This window comes from Homo sapiens, chromosome X, assembly GCF_000001405.40.
Source record: "Homo sapiens chromosome X, GRCh38.p14 Primary Assembly".
NCBI classification, from domain to species: domain Eukaryota; kingdom Metazoa; phylum Chordata; class Mammalia; order Primates; family Hominidae; genus Homo; species Homo sapiens.
In genome coordinates, this window is record NC_000023.11 from 155,528,755 (window position 1) to 155,551,348 (window position 22,594).

General features: G+C 37.6%; 1 protein-coding gene across 7 annotated transcripts in view; it reads right to left on the bottom strand.

Moving 5' to 3' along the window:
* Positions 1 to 22,594, bottom strand: part of TMLHE (trimethyllysine hydroxylase, epsilon) — a 123,942-nt gene that overhangs the window by 39,744 nt on the left and 61,604 nt on the right. For 3 of the 7 annotated variants that reach the window (NM_018196.4, NM_001184797.2, XM_017029620.3), the window contains exon 2: positions 16,342 to 16,523. The exons of 1 other annotated variant lie outside the window; for it this stretch is intronic. In NM_018196.4, coding sequence (NP_060666.1) covers positions 16,342 to 16,522 — 181 coding nt within the window. In that variant the 5' untranslated portion in view covers position 16,523. Of the gene's footprint in view, positions 1 to 4,031; positions 4,034 to 7,606; positions 7,612 to 8,212; positions 8,365 to 16,341; positions 16,524 to 22,594 lie in introns of those variants that run through there. 3 more of the 7 variants (XM_011531182.4, XM_047442236.1, XM_047442234.1) reach the window with 3 other exon arrangements.

Sequence of the window (22,594 nt, forward strand, 5' to 3'; positions counted from 1 at the left end):
ATATCTTTGCCATTGTAAATTGTGCTGTGATGAACATACACAAACAGGTGTCTTTTTGATATAATGACTTCTTTTCCTTTGGACAAATAGTAGTGCACCTCTCAGTATTTATCGTATAGAAAGTGTCACACATGTGGAGCTGCATATAAGGTTATTCATAATAGTGATGGTTATAATAGTAAAAATAATTAGAAAAAAGACTAAATGTCTATCAGTGGGGAAGTGGAAGAATCGCTGAATAAACTGTGGTTTATCCACATTTTAAGATATTAAGCAATAGTTTTTAAAAACTGCTATACCTGTACCTCTCACATTCACTTTCATTGGTATTATCATTCTCATTTTAAGGACAACTAACTAAAGCTCAGAGATGCTAAGTAACTTTGTAAGAATATAATCATTAGGTGGTAGAGCTAAGACATGAACCCAAGTCATGCAACCCCACAGCCTAGTACACTAATGTGTCTCAAAGTACAGCCTTGGGAATCTGGAGGTGATACTTCTTTTAGAAAAACACAGAGAGGAGCTTGGCAAATTTTCTCCCCCAAAAGTATTGATAAAACTGGCCAAACTAAAAAAGAACCATTTTAAGACTCTGGAAATTGTCCAAAGGTATACAGCAAATTGAGAAGTATTTATTATATTTTTAATTTCTTTAGTAACCTTCATACTGTTTTCCATAATTGGTACACCAATCTACATTCCCACCAACAGTGTACAAGAGTTCCTTTTTCTCCACACCCTTGCCAACACTTGTTATCTCTTGTCTTTTTGATAATAGGTATTCTAATGGGTGTCAGGTGGTATATCAGAGTAGTTTTGATTTGTATTTCTCTTATAATTAGTGATGTTGAGCATCTTTTCATATACGTGTTGGTCATTTGTATGTCTTCTTTGGGGAAATGTCTATTCAGATCCATTGACCATTTTTTAATTGGGTTATATGTTTTGTTGCTATTGAGTTGTATGAATTCTTTATAAATTTTGGATATGAACCCCTTATCACAAATACAGTTTGCAAATATTTTTCCTAATCTCTAGGATATCTTTTCATTTTGTTGACTGTTTCCTTTGCTGTGCATAACCTGGTTAGTTTGATGTTGTCTCATTTATTTATTTTGGTTTTTGTATCCTAAGCAGTTGGTGTGATATCCAAAAAAATCATTGCCAAGGCCAATGTCAAGGAGCTTTACCACCTGTTTTCTTCTAGGAGTTTTATGGTTTCAGGTCTTATTCTTGTTTAAGTCTTTTATCCATTTTGAGCTGATTTGTGTGTAGGATGACAAAGGTCCAATTTCATTCTTTTACCTTCTGAGTATATGCCCAAAGGAAATGAAAGTACTACCTCATAAAGATACCTGCACTTCCATGTTCATTGCAGCATTATTCATGAAAGCCAAGATATGGAAAGAACCTAAATGTCTGTTGATGGACGAATGTATAAAAAACTGTGGTATATATAGACAATGGAATATTATTCAGCCTTTTAAAAAGGAGATCTTGCCATTTGCCATAATATGGATGAACCTGGAGGACATTATGCTAAGTGAAATAAACCAGATACAGAAAAAAAATTTGCATGATCTCATTTGTATCCGGAATCTTAAAAAAAAAGTCAAATAAATATACAGAGAGAATAAAACAGTGGTTACCAGGGCCAAGGGTAGGGGCATGAGGCTAAGGACACAAAGTAGCAGATATGTAGAATGATCAGATCTAGATGTCTGTTATATAACAACATGAAGACTATAGTTTATAATAGTGCATTATGTTTTGGATTTTTGCTAAATGAGTCAATGGTAGCTGTTCTTGCCACAAAAAAATGGGTAACTATGTGAGATGATTGATATGTTAATTTGCTTCACTATAGTAACCATTATACTGTCTATATGTATCTCATAATATCATGTCATATACTTTAAACATACACAATGCAATTTCTTTTAAAAAGGAAGCATTTATTTACAAAAAAACTACTGAACCTTGGGTAAAAACAGTGGGAATCTGTGGTGTATTTTAGCATGGGGTGCTCCCACTCCTATTCCTCCACCTCTAGCTCCAATCAGCAGTAGTTCCACGAAGGTGGGCTAAACCAAGAAAACCGGCAGCTTTGCTGTCAAATATGACTAACTTGATTTGGAGCAGAGCATGCATAAAACCCCCATGCATCTGGGTGTTATCAAAAACAATTAGGGAAGCCATACTGGTTGGAGCAAACAACAGACCAGAAGAACAGGCAGAAATCTAACCAGGCTATATAGGGAGTGAGAAAGCTATAATGGGCCTTGAAAAGCTCCCACACATCCCTAGTATTTGGAAGGTTGCACATGCATGCAGTGCTGTATGCACACTGAAGAGAGACTGGAAATGGCTCCAGTTATTTACATGTCTCTGGATGAAAATGAGGCTTTTTGTAGGAGACATGAGAATGACAGAAAGTAAAAACCAGGACAAACTTCTATGGTTAGTCTGTTTGCATCATTATAGAGAAATACCTGGGGCTAGGTAACTTGTAAAGAAAAGAGATTTATTTGGCTCATGGTTCTGCAGGTTGTACAGAAAGCATAGTGCTGGCATCTGCTTCTGGTGAGGGCCTCAGGAAGCTTATAATCATGGCAGAAGGTGAAGGGGAGCTAACATGACACATAGTGAGAGAGAGAGCAAGAGAGAGTGAAGAAGTGCCAGGCTCTTTTAAACAACTGGATCTTGTCTGAATTCATTACTGAGGGGCAGGCACCAAGCCATTCATGAGGGATTTGCCCTCATGACCCAAATACCTCCCATCAGGCCCCATTTCTAACATTGCAGATCACATTTCAACATGAGATTTGGAGGAGACAAACATCCAAACCATATCACTTGTAAATAGCTCAAACTTCAAGTGTATGCCTCAAACAACACACAGATCCTCTGGCAAAGGGTGGAAGCCTTATTACATTAAGTTTTTTAAGCATAACCTCTGATCAATACTTGGCTGGCCTCTAAACTATATCAGGAATTCCCAACCTGATGCCTCAACTAGGCCTATGGACATCTGGGCCAGATAGTCCTTTTGTCATAGGGACAGGTGTCAGCAGCATCTTCCTCTCCAGTTGTGACGACAAAAAATGTCTCCAGACAATGCCAAAGGTCCTCTGGGGGGCAAAATAGACCCCAATTGAGAGCCTCTGGGCTATGGTGACCCCAGTGCAATGCTTAGGAAACCACAGTTAAAAATAAAAACAAGAAGTAAAAATAAAACCTGAGCAGAGACATCAGTGGCTACACACTGCAGGGCACAAAGACTCCACAGAATTACCCCAGACAACAAAAAAATACACAAAACAAACAAATACACAAAATACAAACAAATACACAAAAATATGCAACAATTCCTCTGGGGACATGAGAACTCAGTTTCCATAAAATATTATCTAAAATGTCCAGATTTTCAACAACAAGAAAAGATCATGAGATATGTATAGAAACAGAAGGGTTACCTACACACAGAAAAAAAGCAGGCATCAGAAACCCTCTGAGAATATTACAGAAAATCCTATTGCCTAAGTCAAACATGCAGATAGAAGGCAACTTACGTCCTGCAGAAAATGTCTTTCCCTTCTAATAGTCTTGAGCTTTACAGGAGAGAAGCAGAATGGACTATTGGGGCATCACCTCCATGTACCTATATTATTTCCTCATTATAAGCCAACACTTGGTCTTTACTGAGTCATTTTGTCTGTGACAGCAGGCATGCCTTATACAAGTGCTTTCAAGGTATACCCCAACTGGATGCTTGAAAATGTATAGATACTGAACTTAATTGAAAGACTGTCTGATACAACTGCTGATACTCTGAAATAGGGCTATTCATTTGGTGGTGCCCTACAGTTGGAGTTCTTGTCCTAGGGTGTGTGGAATAATATGCAAAATTCGTGTGTGTGTGTGTGTGTGTGTGTGTGTGTGTGTGTGTGTGTGTAGAATTTCTATGGGGTCTATAACCTAAAAATATTGAGAACCCTTTCCCTAGAGTGACAAAAGTGTTTGAGTACCACTAACCCTTATTCAGTTTGGTCATTGCAGTGAGATGATGCACAGTTCAACAAACTACAGCTTGTGGGTCAAATATAGTATGTGACCTATTTTGTTTGGCTTGCAAGATAAAAAATGGTTTTTACACTTTTAAAGTGTAATAAAACAAAAACAAAACAAAGAAAATCACTGTAATGGTTAACTCTATATGTCAATTTGACTGGACCATGGGGTGCCCAGATAAGTGGCTAAACATTAATTCTGTGAGAGTGTTTCTGGAGGAAATTAGCATTTAAATCAATAGACTGAGTAGAGTACATTGCCTTCTGCAATGCGGGAATAATTCTATCTGCCTGCTTGAACTGGGATATTGGTCTTTTCCTGTTCTTGGACTGAAACTTACATATCAGCCTTCCATTTTAGGCCTTTGAACTTCGACTAGAACTTAGAAAGGTTCTCCTGGTTCTTAGGCCTTCAGACTAAACTGGAATCATATCACCAGGTTTCCTGGGTCTCAAGCTTATGGATGGAAGACTGGTACTTTTTAGTTTCCATAATTGTGTGAGCTGATTCCTTTACACACACACATACACATGCACACACACGTGCACACGCACACACACACACACACACATATATATCCCCCTATTGGTTCTGTTCTGTTTCTCTGGAGAACACTGACTAATATAGATATTGGTACTGAGAAGTAGGGTACTGCTGTAACAAATACCTAAAATTGTGGAAGCAGCTTTGGAAATGGGTAATGGGGTAGAGGCTGAAAGAGTTTTCAGGTACATGCTAGAAAAAAGCCTAGATTACTGTGAAGGGATTGCTAATGGTGTTTCTGGTAAGAGGTCAGAAAAAAAAAGAGGACAGCTAGAGGGAAAGCCTCCATGTTCCTAGAGAATATAAATAATTGTAAACAGAATGCTGGTAGAAATGTGAATGGTAAAGGCCATTCTGATGAGGTCTCAGATGGAAAAGAGGAACATGCTACTGGACAAAGGAAAAAAAAGTGACACTTTTTATAAAGTGGCAAAAAACTTAGCTGCAAAGTGATGAGAGAGCAGTTGGTTCCTTCTGACTGCTTACAGTAAAATGCGAGAAGAGATAAATGAATTGAAGAAGGAACTGTTAAACAAAAAGGAACCAGGACTTAAAAGATTTAGAAAATTCTCAGCTTATCCATATTGCAAAGAATGAGAAAGTATGTTTGAAAGAGAATACTAAGGGTGTGGCTGATCCACATTTGATAAGGAGATAAGTGTGTGCATGAACCATGGTCCTAGTCAGCCATCTCAACAGAAGCCATAAACAGAGATGGGATTATACCAGCAGAAAAACTGCCAGCTGGGACCAAAAAGAACAGAGAAAATGGGACAAAATTGAAAGAGTTGTGCATGTGCTATTTATTCCTCAAAAAAAGGGAAGAGTGAGGCTAAAGGCAATTTAGAGATCATCGGGGCTGCCACTCCCACCACAGGCCCAAGGGGCAGGGCTAGTTCTTCCTCAGGCTAGAGTGCAGTGGTGCGATCTCGGCTTACTGCAGCCTCTGCCTCCTGGGTTCAAGCGATTCTCCTGCCTTCGTCTCCCTGGTAGCTGGGACTATAGGTGCCCGCCACCATGCCCAGCTAATTTTTGTATTTTTAGTAGAAACAAGGTTTTGCTGTGTTGGTCAGGCTGGTCTTGAACTCCTGACCTCAAGTGATCTGCCTGCCTTAGCCTTCCAAAGTGCTGGTATTACAGACATGAGCCACCTGGCACCCGGCCTTATTTCTCTCTTTTTGGAATGGGACTGTCTCTATTGTACCTGTCCCACCTTCCTATTTTGGAAGCACATACTTATCTGGTTTCACAGGAGAAGAAATTTTGCCTCAGGATAAATTGTACCTCAAGTCTCACCCATATCAAATTTAGGTGAGATTTAGTTGAGACTTTGGAATTTTCATCTTTAGAGTGGATGCTGGAATGAGTTAAGACGGGGTTGTTGGGATGGAAGGTATGTATTTTATGTGAGAAGAATATGAATTTGGGGAATCTATGGGTGGAATGTAATAGACTGAATTGAGTCTCCCCTAAGTCCATATGTTAAAGCTCTAATCCCCAATGTGATGGTATCTGGAGATGGAGACTTTGGGAGATAATTAGGCCATGAAGGTAGATTCCTCATGATGGTATTAGTGCTCTTATAACAAGGGACAGGAGATGGAGCCCTTTATCTCTCCACCATGTGAAGATACAGCAAGAAGGCAGAGGGCAGCCTTCTGCAAGCCAGGAAGAGAGTCCTCACCAGAACTTGACTATGCTGGTGCCCTGATGTTGGATTTTGTAGCCTCCAGAACTGTGAGAAATAAATGTCTGTTGTTTAAGCCACCTGGGCTATGGTCTTTTGTTAAAGCAGCCTGAGCCAACTAAGACAACCATGGGACAGAGATTGTACATGGCCCAAAAAAAGCCTAAAATATTTACTGTCTGGCTGTGTTAGTCAGTTCAGGCTGCTATAACAAAATTATAATAGACTGGGTAGCTTAAACAACAGATATTTATTTCTCACTGTCTGGAAGCTAGGAAGTCTAAGATGAGGGTTCCAGGCCATTTGATTCCTGGTGAGGACACTCTTCTTGCTGTGCAGATGGCTACCTTGTTGCTATATCCTCAAATGATAGAGATAGAATGTGCTCTCTCTTATAATGGCACTAATTCCATCATGAGGACTCCACCCTAATAATCTAATTAGCTCTCAAAGGTTCCATCTTCAAGTACCATCACATTGGGAGTTAGGCTTCAACATATGAATTTGGAGAAAACACATTCAGTCCATAGCACTGGCCCTTTACAGATAAAAGTCTGCTGACCTCTGAGATAATCTGTAGCAGAAACTCTTTTTTTCATCCTCTCCTTCACTTCTAGTGAGTTGGCAAGAGTAGCTAATACTACCACCTTAATAGCATTTGAAACCTAACTAACCCCTGTCTCCATTTAAGCTCCACACATCAGTCAGAATACTCTTTCCAATGAAATTTAGCTTAGAATCCCTTAAGTAGTTTCCCATTACAATAAAGACCAATCTCCTCAAGATTGCCTACAAGGGTCTGCACAATGTGGCCCCGGCTAACCTCTGTAGCATCTTTTGTCAACCCTTCCTTGCACTTGATGTAGCAGTCCATATAGGCCAATATGACATATTCTCTGTAGCCTAACTCTTGTACATATAGTTTGCTCTAACTGAAACATTCTTCTTCACTGCCTCAACCCTCTTCCCCTGCCTAGTTCATATTCAATACTCATGACTCAGCAGGCAGTCATTCATAACTCTCCAGGTTGGATTAAGTACCTTTCCTCTTTGTTCTTACAGCACCCTATGTATTTCCTAAAAGAATTTCTCATCTTGTCTTATGCTTGTTTATCATTGCCACAAGACTGTGAGTATCTTGAGGATAGGGAATGTGTCTTCTTCCTCTCTGCATGCTTTGCACTTAGGACAATGCCTGAATCCTGGTAGGTATTCATTAAATGTTTGTTGAATAAATCAATGGTAAATCAAGCAGTGGTGCAGCTGCCTTACTGGTAACTCCAATACAGGCCACATATCTACAAATGATCTTCTCCTGCTCTACTAGATAGCTAGTAATCCTGACTATATGCTATATTCCATTTTCAGGTTAAGAGTTGCTAGTTATATAAGCAGTGTAGTAGTGGAATAAACTACTGTGTGGCTAGACTTGCCTTTTAGTAGGCTTCAATATATCCCCTCATTTTAGTTAAGTTGGTATGCTTACTGTCCTTTTGCTGACTGGAATCCATTCTTGCCTTTTCACTTGTAACTTTTCTCCTTGAAATCACAGGAGAAATTAATTAAAGGACTTTCTGATTAAATGACCACCTTCTCCTTCAAAATATAGCTAAAAATTCATTTATTCAAGGCAGCTTCTTTGAATAATGTATTTCCTCTTTGAAATTAAATATTTGATAGGTATCAACTCAATTTACATTTGTGTCTGGCATAAGCTAATTATGCTTCTTATATTTATTTACTTATTTTATTCATTTCAGGGACTCTACATCTTACATTGAGAAAGGGAATCTTCCATCTTTGGTTCTCTAACAGTTCTTAGCTCAGTTAATAAAATTAACACTCAGCAAATGCTTATTAATTAGATCTTATCAAAATTTTAATACAGAAAAGAAATTTGAAACTCACCTTGATTCATCTCTTTTATAACCCACATTTAATCAATCACCAAGGTCTGTTGATTCCACTTCCTAAATCTTTCTGAAATCCATATAACCTCTCCATTTACACTCCTTTCTCCTGCCACATTCAGGTATTCATCATCTATAGACACTGGGACACTATAAAAGGATTTTAAAAATCAAGGCAGTAAAATCAGATTGGAGTTTAGAAAGAGCACTCTAGTTTCAGGATGGATAATGGATCATCAGGAGAGCAAGACAAGGCTGCAGTAATCCTGTTAGGATAGTTACCTCCTCGCTTCTCAATGTTGTTTTTGGACCACTTTTTCTCCCTCCTTCCTCTAAAACCCAAGCTTCTTTGAAGATCATGCTTTCTTAATTATTCTAATCAAGTACCTCTTGAGTCACTCTCCATTTTTAATGAAGACCAGTTTACTGTTGTCCACTTTATCCTTTCCCTGTCATCCTTGGCAACTTCATCATCATTAATGACAGTACTCTCAAAATTTTCATTTAAAACATTCCATACTCTAGCCACCTCTTATTACCATTCCAGTTCAATTATTCTGGCACTCCTCACCCCGATAATCCTTCAACCCCATAAAGAGCTCCAATTCATTGACCCTAAGCTCCTTTTCACTCTCTGTCATCTTGTTTCCTTTAATGTCCTCACTTACCTCCTTAATGTCCTCACTTCCCTCCTTACAGAGCCCATATTCCATGGTCCATCATTTTAATCAATTCCCTGCAAACATTCTTAACTTCCTTGTCCCCTCTCTCTGTGCCATACTTCTCTGACAAAGCCCCAACCATGGTAAACTCAAGTTCCTACCTCCTGTGCAGCCAAGCAGCTGAAAATTGCTGGAGAAAAATTTTTCTTTTATGTTTTATTTTTTTAATTGACAAATACTGTGTTTTGTTATCTTGTAAACATGATGTTTTGAAGTATATATACATTTTGGAATGGCTAAACCTAACCAATTAATAAATGGATTACTTCACATAGTTATTATTTTTGTGGTGCTAGTATGTAACGTCAACTCTGTTTTTCAAGAATACAATATCATCATTAACTATAGTCATTTTGCTGTATGATAGATCTCTTGAAATGTATTCCTCCTATCTAACTCTAATTATGTATCCTCTGACCAACATGTCTCCATCTTCCCTCCCCTCAATCACCCTAGCCTCTGATAACTACCATTATACTCACTTCTATGAGATCAAATTTTTTAGATTCCACGTATGAGTGAGATAATGCAGTATTTGTCTTCCTATGCCTGGCTTATTTCCTTTAACATAAATTCCTCCAGGTTCATTCACGTTGCTGCAAATGACAGGATCTGACTCTTTTTATGGCTGAGTAGTATTACATTGTGTATGTATACCTCACTTTTTTCATCCACTCATCCATTGATGGACGCTTATGATGGAGAAAATTTTAAAAACTGCACTGGCTAGTATCATTTTAAACTCATCATGAAAAATCTCAAATTAGTACTCAATATAGCCAAATAATTCTTGCATAATTTCCTAGTAAAATCACTCACTCTCTAAGAAGACTGTGTCATACCATCTCCCCATCCTCAAACTGCCAACACCTCCTCACCCTTCACACTTTCAACTGATGACCTTGCTTCTTCCTTCAAAGAAAATGTAGAAGCAATAAGAGAATCTTCACAAACTGATGCCCCATATCCAATCACTTACCTGCATCTGTGCCCATATATTCCACCTTTCTTTCTGTTACAATCGTTGAAATATCTGTGCATCTAATCAAGGTCAATACTTCCATTTATGAACTAGATTCTATCTCTTTTTCATACTCAGAGACTATGCTCCTGAAGCAGTTCTATTCCTCTCTTTTGCATCACCAAATTTTCCTTCCCTATTGGATCATCCTCATTAGCAAACATGTAATATCTCCCATATTAAAATAATATTCCAGGAGTGCCATCAGCAAGATGGCAGAATAGAAAAAAAAGACCCTCCTTCCCCCATGGTTTGAATAACAATTTATGGAACAATTGCCTTTATGACAAATTCAGAAATGAGTTAAAAGGTTGCTGCACCCCAGGCAAGTGCAAAGCCAACCTCACCAAAACCCAGTAGGAAAATTCATGGCATTTCTTCACCAGAGACTCTTCTCCCAGCTTGGTGCATTGTAACTGAGAGGAAACCCCTACCTCCTGACTTATCCTAGGGGGGAAAAGAAGTTGAATGTCCAACATTCTAACTTTTCAGGGTGTTATCTAAAAGATTGGTTTCTGTCTTGCCTGAATCTAAGAACTGACAGCAATGGGATGCCAGGTTGGGGGCCTGCTGAGAACAAAGGTGATCAATGTGGCTTGGCCTGGCACCAGAGTCTGTAGACCACAGACAGACATTATGTGGAGCTCCAATACCCTAGTTTACTACAGAAACAGAGAGATGGCAGTATCACAGACAGACATCAAGGGGAACTCCTGAATAGAAACTGATAAATCTCTTCAACTAGATGATTATATGCACAATCCCAGAAGAGTATGCCTTCCCAGGAAAGGATTAGGAGGTCTCTGGATTCTTTAACTGGGCTAATTGGAGAATGTCCTCCTTGTATGCAACCAGACCACAAAGACTGAGAAAGGTAGCTGAGCTTTCAAATGTTAAAGTCTCAACAAGATATAGTAAGACATACGAAGAAACAAAGAAATGTGGACTATTCAAAGGAATAATTTAAACCTCCAGAAAGCACCCCTACAGACATAGAGAAATATAAATTACCAAAAACTCAAAATAAGCATCACCAGAATAATTAAAGAATTAAACAAGAACATAGATAGGCAACTAAACAAAATTAGGAAACTGACATATAAACAAAATAAGAATATCAACAAATAAATAAAAGTATAAAGAAGAATCAAACAGAAATTCTGGAACTGAAGTATCTAATAATCGAATTGGAGAAATTCACTGGAGGGATTCGATAGCAGAATTGACCAGGCAGAAAAAAGAATTAGTAAACTCATCGATAGGGCTTTGAAATTATTGAGAAAGAGAAGAAAAAAACAACAAAGAATGAAGAAAAATGAGGAGAGCCTAAGGGATTTATGGGGCACCAACAAGCAGAACAACATACGCATGATGCAAATCACAAAAGGGGAAAAGAGAAATGAGTAGAGAGCTTATCTGAAGAAATGATGGCTGAAAACTCTCCAAATTTGATGAGAGAAAAGGACACACAATTTGAATAAACAAACAACTCCAGTTGGAATAAATCTAAAGAGACCTACACTGAGACCCATCAAAATCCAACTGTCAAAAGTCACAAAGACAGAATCTTGAAAGTGGCAAGAAAAAATGACTCATCACATATAAGGGAGCTTCTATTAAACTATCAGCTGGTTTCTCAGCAAAACCTTGCAGGCTAGAAAGGAGTGAAATAATATATTCAATTACTGAAGAACAAAACCTGCCCACCAAGAACATTATATTTTGTAAAACTGTCCTTCTAAAATGAAGGAGAGATTAAGACTTCCCAGATAAACAAAAGGAGAGGAAGTTGATCACCACTCAATCTGCCCCACAAGAAATGCTAAAGGGATCCTTCAAGTTGAAGAAAAAGGATGATAAATAGCAACACAAAACCATATGAAAATATAAACCTTCTGATAAAGGTTTATTGTGTAGAATTGTAATATAAGTGTGTAAATCACTTTTAAATATGGTATAAATTTTAAAAACAAAAGTAACAAATAATTATAGATCTATGTTAATGGATGCACATTATAAGGAAAGGATGCCCACCCTCAATATTACTATTGTTGAAGTACTGGGATTCCTAGCTAGAAAAATTAGACAAGAAAGAGAAGTAACAGAAATCTAAATTGGAAAAGATGAAGTAAAATTGTCTGTATTCACAGATGACATGATCTTATATGTAGAAAACCCTAAATATTCCATATGCAATAAAAAGTATTATAACTAATAAATGATGTCAGAAAATTTGCAGGATACAAAAGCAATACATAAAATGCATTGCATTTCTATATATTAATGGTGACCGATCTAAGAAGAAAAATTAAGAAAAAATTCCCTTTATTTATTTTATTTTATTTTTTATTATACTTTAAGTTCTGGGGTACATGTGCAGAACATGCAGGTTTGTTACATAAGTATACATGAGCCATGGTGGTTTGCTGCACCCATCAACCTGTCATCTACATTAGGTATTTCTCCTAATGCTATCCCTCCCCTAGACCCCACTCCCTGACAGGCCCCAGTGTGTGATGTTCCCTTCCCTGTGTCCATGTGTCCTCATTGTTCAACTCCCACTTATGAGTGAGAACATGCGATGTTTGGTTTTCTATTCTTGTGTTAGTTTGCTGAGAATGATGGTCTCCAGTGTCATCCATGTCCCTGCAAAGGACATGAACTCATCCTTTTTTATGGCTCTATAGTATTCCATGGTGTATATGTGCCACAATTTCTTTATCCAGTTTCACACTGATGGGCATTTGGGTTGTTTCCAAGTCTTTGTTATTGTGAACAGTGCTGCAATAAACATATGTGTGCATATGTCTTTATAGTAGAATGATTTATAATCCTCTGGGTATATACCCAGTAATGAGATTGCTGAGTCAAATGGTAATTCCAGTTCTAGATCCTTGAAGAATCTCCACACTGTCTTCCACAATGGTTGAACTAATTTACACTCCCACCAACACTGTAAAAGCGTTCCTATTTCTCCACATCCTCTCCAGCATCTGTTGTTTCCTGACTTTTTAATGATTGCCAATCTAACTGATGTGAGATGATATCTCATTATGGTTTTGATTTGCATTTTTCTGATGACCAGTGATGATGAGCTTTTTTCATATGTTTGTTGGCTGCATAAATGTCTGCTTTTGAGAAGTGTCTGTTCATATCCTTTGCCCACTTTTTGATGGGGTTGTTTTTTTTTTCATGTAAATTTGTCTAAGTTCTTTGTAGATTCTGAATATTAGCCCTTTGTCAGATGGATAGATTGCAAAAATTTTCTCCCATTCTGTAGGTTGCCTGTTCACTCTGATGGTAGTTTCTTTTGCTGTGGAGAAGCTCTTTAGTTTAATCAGATCCCATTTGTCTATTTTGGCTTTTGTTGCCATTGCTTTTGGTGCTTTAGTCATGAAGTCTTTGCCCAAGCCTATGTCCTGAATGGTATTGCCTAGGTTTTCTTCTAGGGTTTTTATGGTTTTAGGTCTTATGTTTAAGTCTTTAATCCATCTTGAGTTAATTTTTGTGTAAGGTATAAGGAAGGGATCCAGTTTCAGCCTTCTGCATATGGCATCAAAAAGGATGAAATACTTAGGAATAAACTTAACCAAGTTAGTGAAACACTTCTACAGTGAAAACTACAAAATGTTGCTAAGATAAATCAAAGAAAGGTACAAATAAATGAAAAGGCATCTCCTGCTTATGGATTGGAAGGCTTAATGTTGTTAAAATGTCCATACTACCCAAAGTGATCTACAGATTAAATGCAATGCCTATCAAAACTCCAATGGAATTTGTTGTAGAAACAGAAAAAAACCTTCCTAAAAGTCATACGGAATCTCAAGGGACCCTGAATAGTCAAAATAATCTTGAAAAATGAGACCAAAATTGGAGGCCTCGCACTTCCCAATTTCAAAACATGCAACAAAGCAACAGTAATCAAAATAGTATTGATGTATGAAAAAGTCTTTATCTCTCACTTTTGAAGGATCATTTTGCTGGATATATAATTCTACATTGGTAGTTGTCCCCCCTTTAACACTTTAAGGTTGTCATTCCATTGTGTTCTTGCTTGCACAGTTCCTGATGAGAAGTCCACTGCAATTCTTATCTTTGTTTCTCTGTAGGTAAGGTGTTTTTCTCCCCACTAGGCTGCCTTCAAGAATATCTCTTTGTCTTTGGTTTTCTGCAGTTTTAATATAATATGCCCATGTGTGAGGTCCTGCTTGTTTATTTTAAGGGGTGTGTGTGTGTGTGTGTGTTTATTTATAATGCATTTGTTAATGTGTCTATTTTTATGCCAGTATCATATTGTTTTGATTACTATTGCTTTGTAATATATTTTGATATCAGGTAGTATGATGCCTCCAGCTTTGTTCTTTTTGCTCAAGATTGCTTTAGCCATTCAGGGTCTTAAGTTGAAAACTTTTCCTTTCAGATCAGGAACAAGACAATGATGTTCACTCTTCCTACTCTTACTCCACATAGTACTGGAAGTCGTAGCCAGAGTAATTAGGCAAGAAAAAGAAATAAAAGACATGCAAATAGGAAAGAAAGAGATGAAATTGTCTCTGTTCACTGATGAAATAATCTTATATATAGAAAACCCTAAAGAGACTACCAAAAAACTGTTAGACTTAATGAATTCAGTAAAATCAACATACAAAAATCATTAATGCTTCTAAACCCTAACAATGAACTAACTGAAAAAGAAATCAAGAAAACAATGCTATTTGTAATAGTTGCAAAAAAATACTTAGGAATAAATTTAACCAAGGAGATTAATAATCTCTACACTCAAAACTATAAAACATTGATTAAATAAATTGGAGAACACACAAATAAATGAAAAAAATTCCATCTTCGTGGATTGGAAGAATTAATATTGTTAAAATATCTATACTATTCAAAGTGATCTACAGATTCAATGCAGCTCCTGTCAAAATTTCAATTACATTTTTCACAGAAATAGAAAAAATCCTAAAATTCTGACTGATAATTTCAACACCTGTGTCATATGTAAGTCTGGTTCTGATCTTGCTTTGTCTCTTCAAATTGTGTTATTTCTTGCCTTAGCAAGTTTTGTAATGTTGTTATTGTTAAAAGCCAGACATCTTGTATAGAGCAATAGCTACTGAGGTAAATAGGATTTTACCATGAATATTTATATTAATCTGGCCTGGAGTTAGGTTGTGTTTGATGTTTGTTGTCTCTGTGGGTACCAGAAGCATTAAATTTCTCTAGTGATTTTGCTTTTGTCTTCTCTCTTGGCCTTGGCCCTTCCCTTTGTGCTGTACCTCAGAGACAGGCTGTCTCTTGCAGCTCTTCCAGCTGTAATCCACTGTCATTTTAACTGGAGGCTTATTAGCTTGTTGTAGGATGTGGGGGGATGAGGGCATTCTACAATCTTCAGATTCTCAGTCTTTGGAGTGCATAGTGGGCCTGTGTCTTGGAAGTGTGACTTTAACAATTGTTTTTGTTTCTCTTCCAGGGTGTGGTAGATTGAACTGTAACCCTCAAAAAGATATGTTGAAGTCCTAATCCCTGGTACCTGTGAATGTGACCTTATTTAGAAAGCCTCTTTGCAGATGTAATCAAGTTAAAATGAGGTCACACTGGATTAGGGTGTGTTCTAAATCCAATGACTGCTATCTTTATAAAGAGAAATATTTGAAGACAGAGATTAGATATTGAGAAGAAGGCCATGTGAATATGAAAGCAGAGATTGGAGTCATGCTGGCACAAGCAAAGTAAAGCCAAGGATTGCCAGCAACCATAAGAAACTAGAAAAGGCAAGGAAAAACTCTCTCCCAAAGGGAGCATGGCCTTACCAACCCTCCAAGACTATGAGAAAATACACTGTTGTTTTAAATCACCTAGTTTGTGTAATTTGTTATGGCAGCCTTAGAAGACTCATACACATAGGTAAAGTATTCCCTCCTGCCAACTAATACTTTCTGTGGTTCTAACATTCCTAGTCTATATCTTTGAAACCCTCTCCCTTGTATATTAAGGCTTTCTTTTCTTTATTTTTTTTTCCCTTAGGTAAGACAGGGAGATGGAGTGGGGCTGGAGCAGGCTGAGTTGCCTTCCCCTAGTTGAGAAGGGATTTCACTATTGCCCTCTGTTATTTTTGTCTTTCTCCCAACTTGTAGGCTAATCTTAAAAATAAATGGCTAGAGGTCCTGTCAACTCCACAAAAAGTATTTTCAGACCACACAAAAGGTATTTATCATTGCATAACAATGTGAATTGTACACTTAAAATGGTTAAGATAGTAAATTTTGTACTATGTGTTTTCTTACCACGATTTTATCATTCCAATTTTTGATATATGTGCTGCCAAAGCAAACATTTCTTACCACAAGTTTTAAAAAGTATCTGTCTTCACACATCTCTTACCAAAATGATCTTCATGTTGCTGCCAAGCACAAGTCAGAGACTTGGAGGCTGTATGGTGCCAATGGACAGCTAAAGGAAGTAAGCTTTTGAAGTTGGGCTGTGGAAGGGCCGGATATATGACTCCTCCCTTCAGCAAGTCCTGAAGCCTGCTGTGTAGGTGGGACAATCTGTGGTACCACATCCTAGAAGATTGGATAATAACAAGTTAGTAGTAATATACAACAACTTTTATGAGGCTATAGGAATAACACTACAGATATAATTATGTAAAATGATAGATTTAATGATCTCAATACAGAGGATTAAACAAAGGAGAAATTGTGAAAAGTTAAGCATAAGTGATCTATAACCATTACTTACATTTTCTCATTAGCCACTCTTATTTTATGTCATACAATCTTCCTTTTGGCCTACTACCTAACTGAAGCAGTGCTTTAAAAAATTCACTAATCTTAACCTTCCAAATACATACAGTCATCTGCATAATGACATTTCTGTCAGTAACAGACCACATATATGATGGTGGTCCCATAAGATTATAATGGAGCCGAAAAATCCTATTACCTAGTGACATGGTAATGTAGCACAATGCATTACCTTTTCTATGTTTAGATGTGTTTACATACACAAATGCTCAGCGTTATGTTACAATTGCCTACAGTATTCAGTACAGTCACATGCTATACAGGTTTGTACCCTAGGAGCAACAGGCTATATATATCATATAGCCTGGACGTGTAGTAGGCTATACCATCTGGGTTTGTTAACACTCTAGGATGTTCATACAACCATGAAATTGCTGAATGAGGCATTTCTCAGAATGTATCCCTGTCGTTATCCTGTCAACTGACCCATAATTGTAAAAGGATTATTTTTCATGTCTCATCCTTCTGGGTCTCTCTGCTTGTGACACTACTAATCACCCCTATTCCGACTATGTGAAACTTTCTTCTCCGCTGGTTATGTGTGCTGTGGGCAAGTTACTTAAACCCTCAGTGACTCCATTTCTTCCTTTGTAAAATGAGGTTGATAATAGTATTTATCTCATGGCTTTACTGTGAGGACTAAAATACTTAGAATTATATGTTCCATACTAAGCCCTACATATGTATCACTGCTATTACTATCGTTATTACGGCTGTTGTTAGGCATAAACTTTATGTTGGGAAAATGCCTTGATAAACCTGCTTGGAGTTGGTGATGCTGAGTAGCATAGTTTTAGAAAAATTAATAAAACAACACCATTTGCATAAGGTCTTAAAAGGAATTAATTTGTCCTGTGGCAGAAGACTGAGAGAGCTATGTGATTGCAGATAGGCTGTGTGGTTCTCAATGTGAACCTTCTCAATTACACCCTCAAATATGCAGTAGTGTAATTAAACCCACAAAATGCTTATGTTGAGTGGACTGGTGAGTGCCTGTGTGTGTGTGCGCGCATGCGTATGTGTGGGTATGTGAGTTGTAAGCTGATGAAAGGACTGAACTTCATGCTGATATGGGATGAAACCAATCACATAAATTAAAGCCATAGCTAGAGATATAATAGAATTTACTAATCACTAGGGAGCAGTCTGTAATTACAGGATAGAGAATGGAAGGCTAAAGTCAAATTTATTGAGATTTTGTGGCTGAGGGCAAAGAGGAGAGCACAGAAACTCCTCTGCTGATAATCTGGGTTACATTTATTTCTTCACTGTCTCTTGTTTCCAACCTCCTACCTACAGATACTGTCTGAAACAGGGGCTGGCAATCTGTGCCCCACAAACTAAAAATGGATTTTATATTTTTTAAGGAGTTGTAAAGAAAAACAAAGATGAGTATGACACCAAGACTCCAGACCAAGACCAGACTAGAATTTCTTCTTTGTAGTCTATGAAGTCTACAATATGTGCTATCTGGATCTTCAAAGAAAAAAAATTTCCAACTCCTAGTCAAATATTAAATTCTTAATCAAATACTCTTCTCCCACTACATCGAAAAATCTCCCAAAAATCTACTCTTAAGTATATTCACTCACTTCATTATTTCACAAAATAAATATTACTAATAGGTACTTTTTTTTTTTTTGAGACGGAGTCTTGCTCTGTCGCCCAGGCTGGAGTGCAGTGGCGCTATCTCGGCTCACTGCAAGCTCCGCCTCCCGGGTTCACGCCATTCTCCTGCCTCAGCCTCCCGAGTAGCTGGGACTACAGGCACCTGCCACCACGCCCGGCTAATTTTTTGTATTTTTAGTAGAGACGGGGTTTCACCGTGTTAGCCAGGATGGTCTCGATCTCCTGACCTCGTGATCCGCCGCCTCAGCCTCCCAAAGTGCTGGGATTACAGGCGTGAGCCACCACGACCAGCTATAATAGGTACTTTCTTAAGTATTAAGATACAAACATAAATAAATCAGCAGTCCTAGCCACCATTCAAGATGTTCACAAACTAGCAGGGAAGAAAGACAAGTACAGGGTGATAACTACTACTATTTATAATAGTTTTAAGCATACAACACAGTGAAAGGTGCAAAGGAGTAAGAAGTTAACCATGCCTGAGGAAAGTGGTGGAGCTCCACATGACTAGTGTTCTTTGAAGAAGGTTTCATTGTTTTATATTAACTTAAAAATAAAACTGATTGTAAAAAAAAAAAAAGATGGGATTGTTGGAGGTGTTGGAAATAATCCACACAACCCTGAAATATATAAAATAATAAGTAAAAGCCTCTTTCTTTCATTATTTACCACCCCATTCTTTCAAGGAAACTGTTGATGAGGTTTGGCATATACAATGACACATATAATTAAAATCTCCACACCTGCTATAGACACATACAGAAATACATATGTATTTAAACCATAAAGAATGGTAGAAAACAAAGTCTCTCCTCCCCCATTTCCCATAATCTCACTACTCAAATGTTACCAGTTTCAATTTTTAGAAATCAGCCCAAGCAAAACTGGATATCCATATGCAGAAGAATGAGACCCCTACCTCTTGCCATATACAAAAAATACAATCTAAGTGAATTAAAGACTTAAATCTAAGACCGCAAACTATGAAACTACTACAAGAAAACATTGGGGAAACATACCAGGACGTTGGTCTGGGCAAAAATTTCTGGAGTAAGACTTCAAAAGCACAGGCAAGCTAAGCAAAAATGGACAAATGGGATCACATCAAATTAAAAAGCTACTGTACATCAAAGGATACAACCAACAAAGTGAAGGGACAACCTGGAGAATGGGAGAAAATAATTTGCCAACCACCCATCTGACAAGGGATTAATAATCAAGCAATTTGCAAACTGGCAGCAGGTATCTGAAATTCACACAACTGACAAAGTATTAATATCAAGAATATTTAAAGACATCCTACAGGCTGGGCACGGTGGCTCATGCCTGAAATCCCAGCACTTTGGGAGGTCAAGGCGGGCGGATCACAAGGTCAGCAGTATGAGGCCAGCCTGACTAACATGGTGAAACCCTGTCTCTACTAAAAAATACAAAAATTAGCCGGGTGTGGTGGCACACACCTGTATTCCCAGCTACTCAGGAGGCTGAGGCAGGAGAATCGCTTGAACCCAGGAGGCAAAGGTTGCAGTGAGCTGAGATTGTGCCACTGCACTCCAGCCTGGGCGACAGAGTGAGACTCTGTCTCAAAAAAAAAAAAGACATCCTACAAGTCAATAGGAAAAGCAAACAATATGTGAGCAAATAGTATGAACAGACATTTCTAAGAGAAAACACATATGGTCAATATGGTCAATCAATTCATGAAGAGATGTTCAACCTCATTAATGATTAGGGAATTGTAATCTAGTCACAGTGAGATATGATATAACCATCTGATCGGCAAAAATTAAGATGTCTGACAATAGCAAGTATAGAGGTCTTGCACATCTTTCATTGAATTCATTCCTAAGTGATTTCTTGTGCTATTACAAGCAGCATTTTAAAATTTCAATTTGTAATTGCTAACAGTATACACAATGCAACTGACTTTTATATTCTGACCTGGAATGCTGTAATCTTAATAAAAACAGTTATTACTTCCAGTAAGCGCTTTGGAAATTTCTCAGCATTTTCTATATAAGGAATGTCATATATGAATAGAGTTCTACATCTTCTTTTGCAAACTTTATACCTTTTGTTTGTTTTTTTGCTGCATTGTGCTCACTAGTTAGGAGGAGTAAGCATGGACAACCTTGCCTTGTTCCTGATCTTAGGGGAAAACATTCTAGTTTCATGATTAAGTATGTTGTTAGCCATGTTTTTGGATTTTTTTGTTATTGTTATTAATGGCCTTTTTCTGGTTGGGGAAGTTTCCTTCAATTCCTAGTTTTCTGAGAGTATTTATCAGGAATATGACTTGAATTTTAGTAAATGTACTTTCTACATCTATTATTTTATGGCTTGTTGCTTTATTCTAGTAAAGTGGTTAATTATTCTAATTGACTTCCTATGTTAAAACAACCTTGCATTTCTGGAATAAACCCCATTTGATTATGATATATTATCCTTTTTATACATTGTTGGATTCAATATGCTGAAATTTTGTTTCAGTATTTTGCATCTAGATACATGAGGAATACATGGTCTGGTGTGTGTATGTGTGTGTGTCATCTTTATCAGGTATTTTATCAGATTTATGCTGGGTTTTTAAAATTGTACTTTAAGTTCTGGGATACATGTGCAGAACGTGCAGGTTTGTTACATAGGTATACAAACCATGGTGGTTTGCTGCACCCATAAACCCGTCACCTACACTAGGTATTTCTCCTAATGCTATCCCTCCCCTAGCCCCCACTCCCCGAGAGGCCCCAGTGTGTGCTCTTCCCCTCCCTGTGCCCATATGTTCTCATTGTTCAACTCCCACTTATGAGTGAGAACACGTGGTGTTTGGTTTTCTCTTCCTGTGTTAGTTTGCTGAGAATGATGGTTTCCAGCTACATCCATGTCCCTGCAAAGGACATGAACTCATCCTTTTTATGGCTGCATAGTATTCCGTGGCGTATATGTGCCACATTTTCTTTATCCAGTCTCAAATTGATGGGCATTTCGGTTGTTTCCAAGTCTTTGCTATTGTGAACAGTGCTGCAGTCAACATACGTGTGCATGTGTCTTTATCGTAGAATGATTTTTTTTTGGTCTTGCAAAATCAGTTTTATTGTAATATGCATATATGAAAATTTACCCATGATGCATAGTCGCAATCCTAATTTAACTTGTCCTAATTAAACTAATCCTAAAGTAACTAATTTTACTTCCATTTTTATTATGTGTGAAAATAAGTTCTTTCTATAATGTTTTGTACTATTGGTCTACTTGCTTGCTTGCTTTTCCATCCATTGCAATATTTGGGAATGGATTACAAAAAGATACTTGGATAAGTAGCACTGAAAGCTGTTAAAAACAGAATATCAATTCCTGGAGTATGTTTCTATCTGGATGCACACGAATGAAATAATTGAACTCTCAAAGTTCTTTTCACGCCCTTAATTCAATGAAGCAATTCCTGAAGCAACACATTCACATCTCATAGCTGATTTACATGTTTCCTTTTGCTAGCCTTCTCTTTTGGACTAAGTTTTCTCCTTACTAATGTCAGTTCAAACTGGTGAGACTTCAGACAAGTGGTTTCTCAATCCTGATGGCACAATAGAGTGATGTGGGGAACTTTAGAAAAGTTCTGATGATCCGGCCCTGCCCCTAGAGACTGTGATTAAATATTTTGAGTGTATATGAACCACTTGGTTATTTGGTTACTATGTCATCAAAGCAGGTTAAAAACGAGGGGAAAAGCCATTTTTTTCTTCAGCCTGGCTATCTTGACAACTAACAAATTATTTTTTAACCCCAAAAGAAAAGAAAAATGGGACCAAAGATATTTTTACTTTTAGTAAATAAAGCGCATCAACTCTCAAAAGGTGCTTGGCCCTTTAAACGGCATGGCAATGCACAGAAAGACAGTTGGGTGAGGCTGCATGCCCTTCATAACCATTTCAACACCTACCTCGGGTCCCAAAATAAATATTTTTAATATTGTCTCATTCTGGACTGTTCCAACATGCACTATATCAGCTTGTCTACATATTCTAATGTAACTGCATACAAGTTTCCAGCAGCTCATGTATTTTCTTTTTTTTTATTATACTAAAAGTTTTAGGGTACATGTGCACAACATGCAGGTTTGTTACATGTGTATACATGTGCCATTTGGTGTGTCGCACCCATTAACCCGTCATTTAACATTAGGTATTCTTCCTAATGCT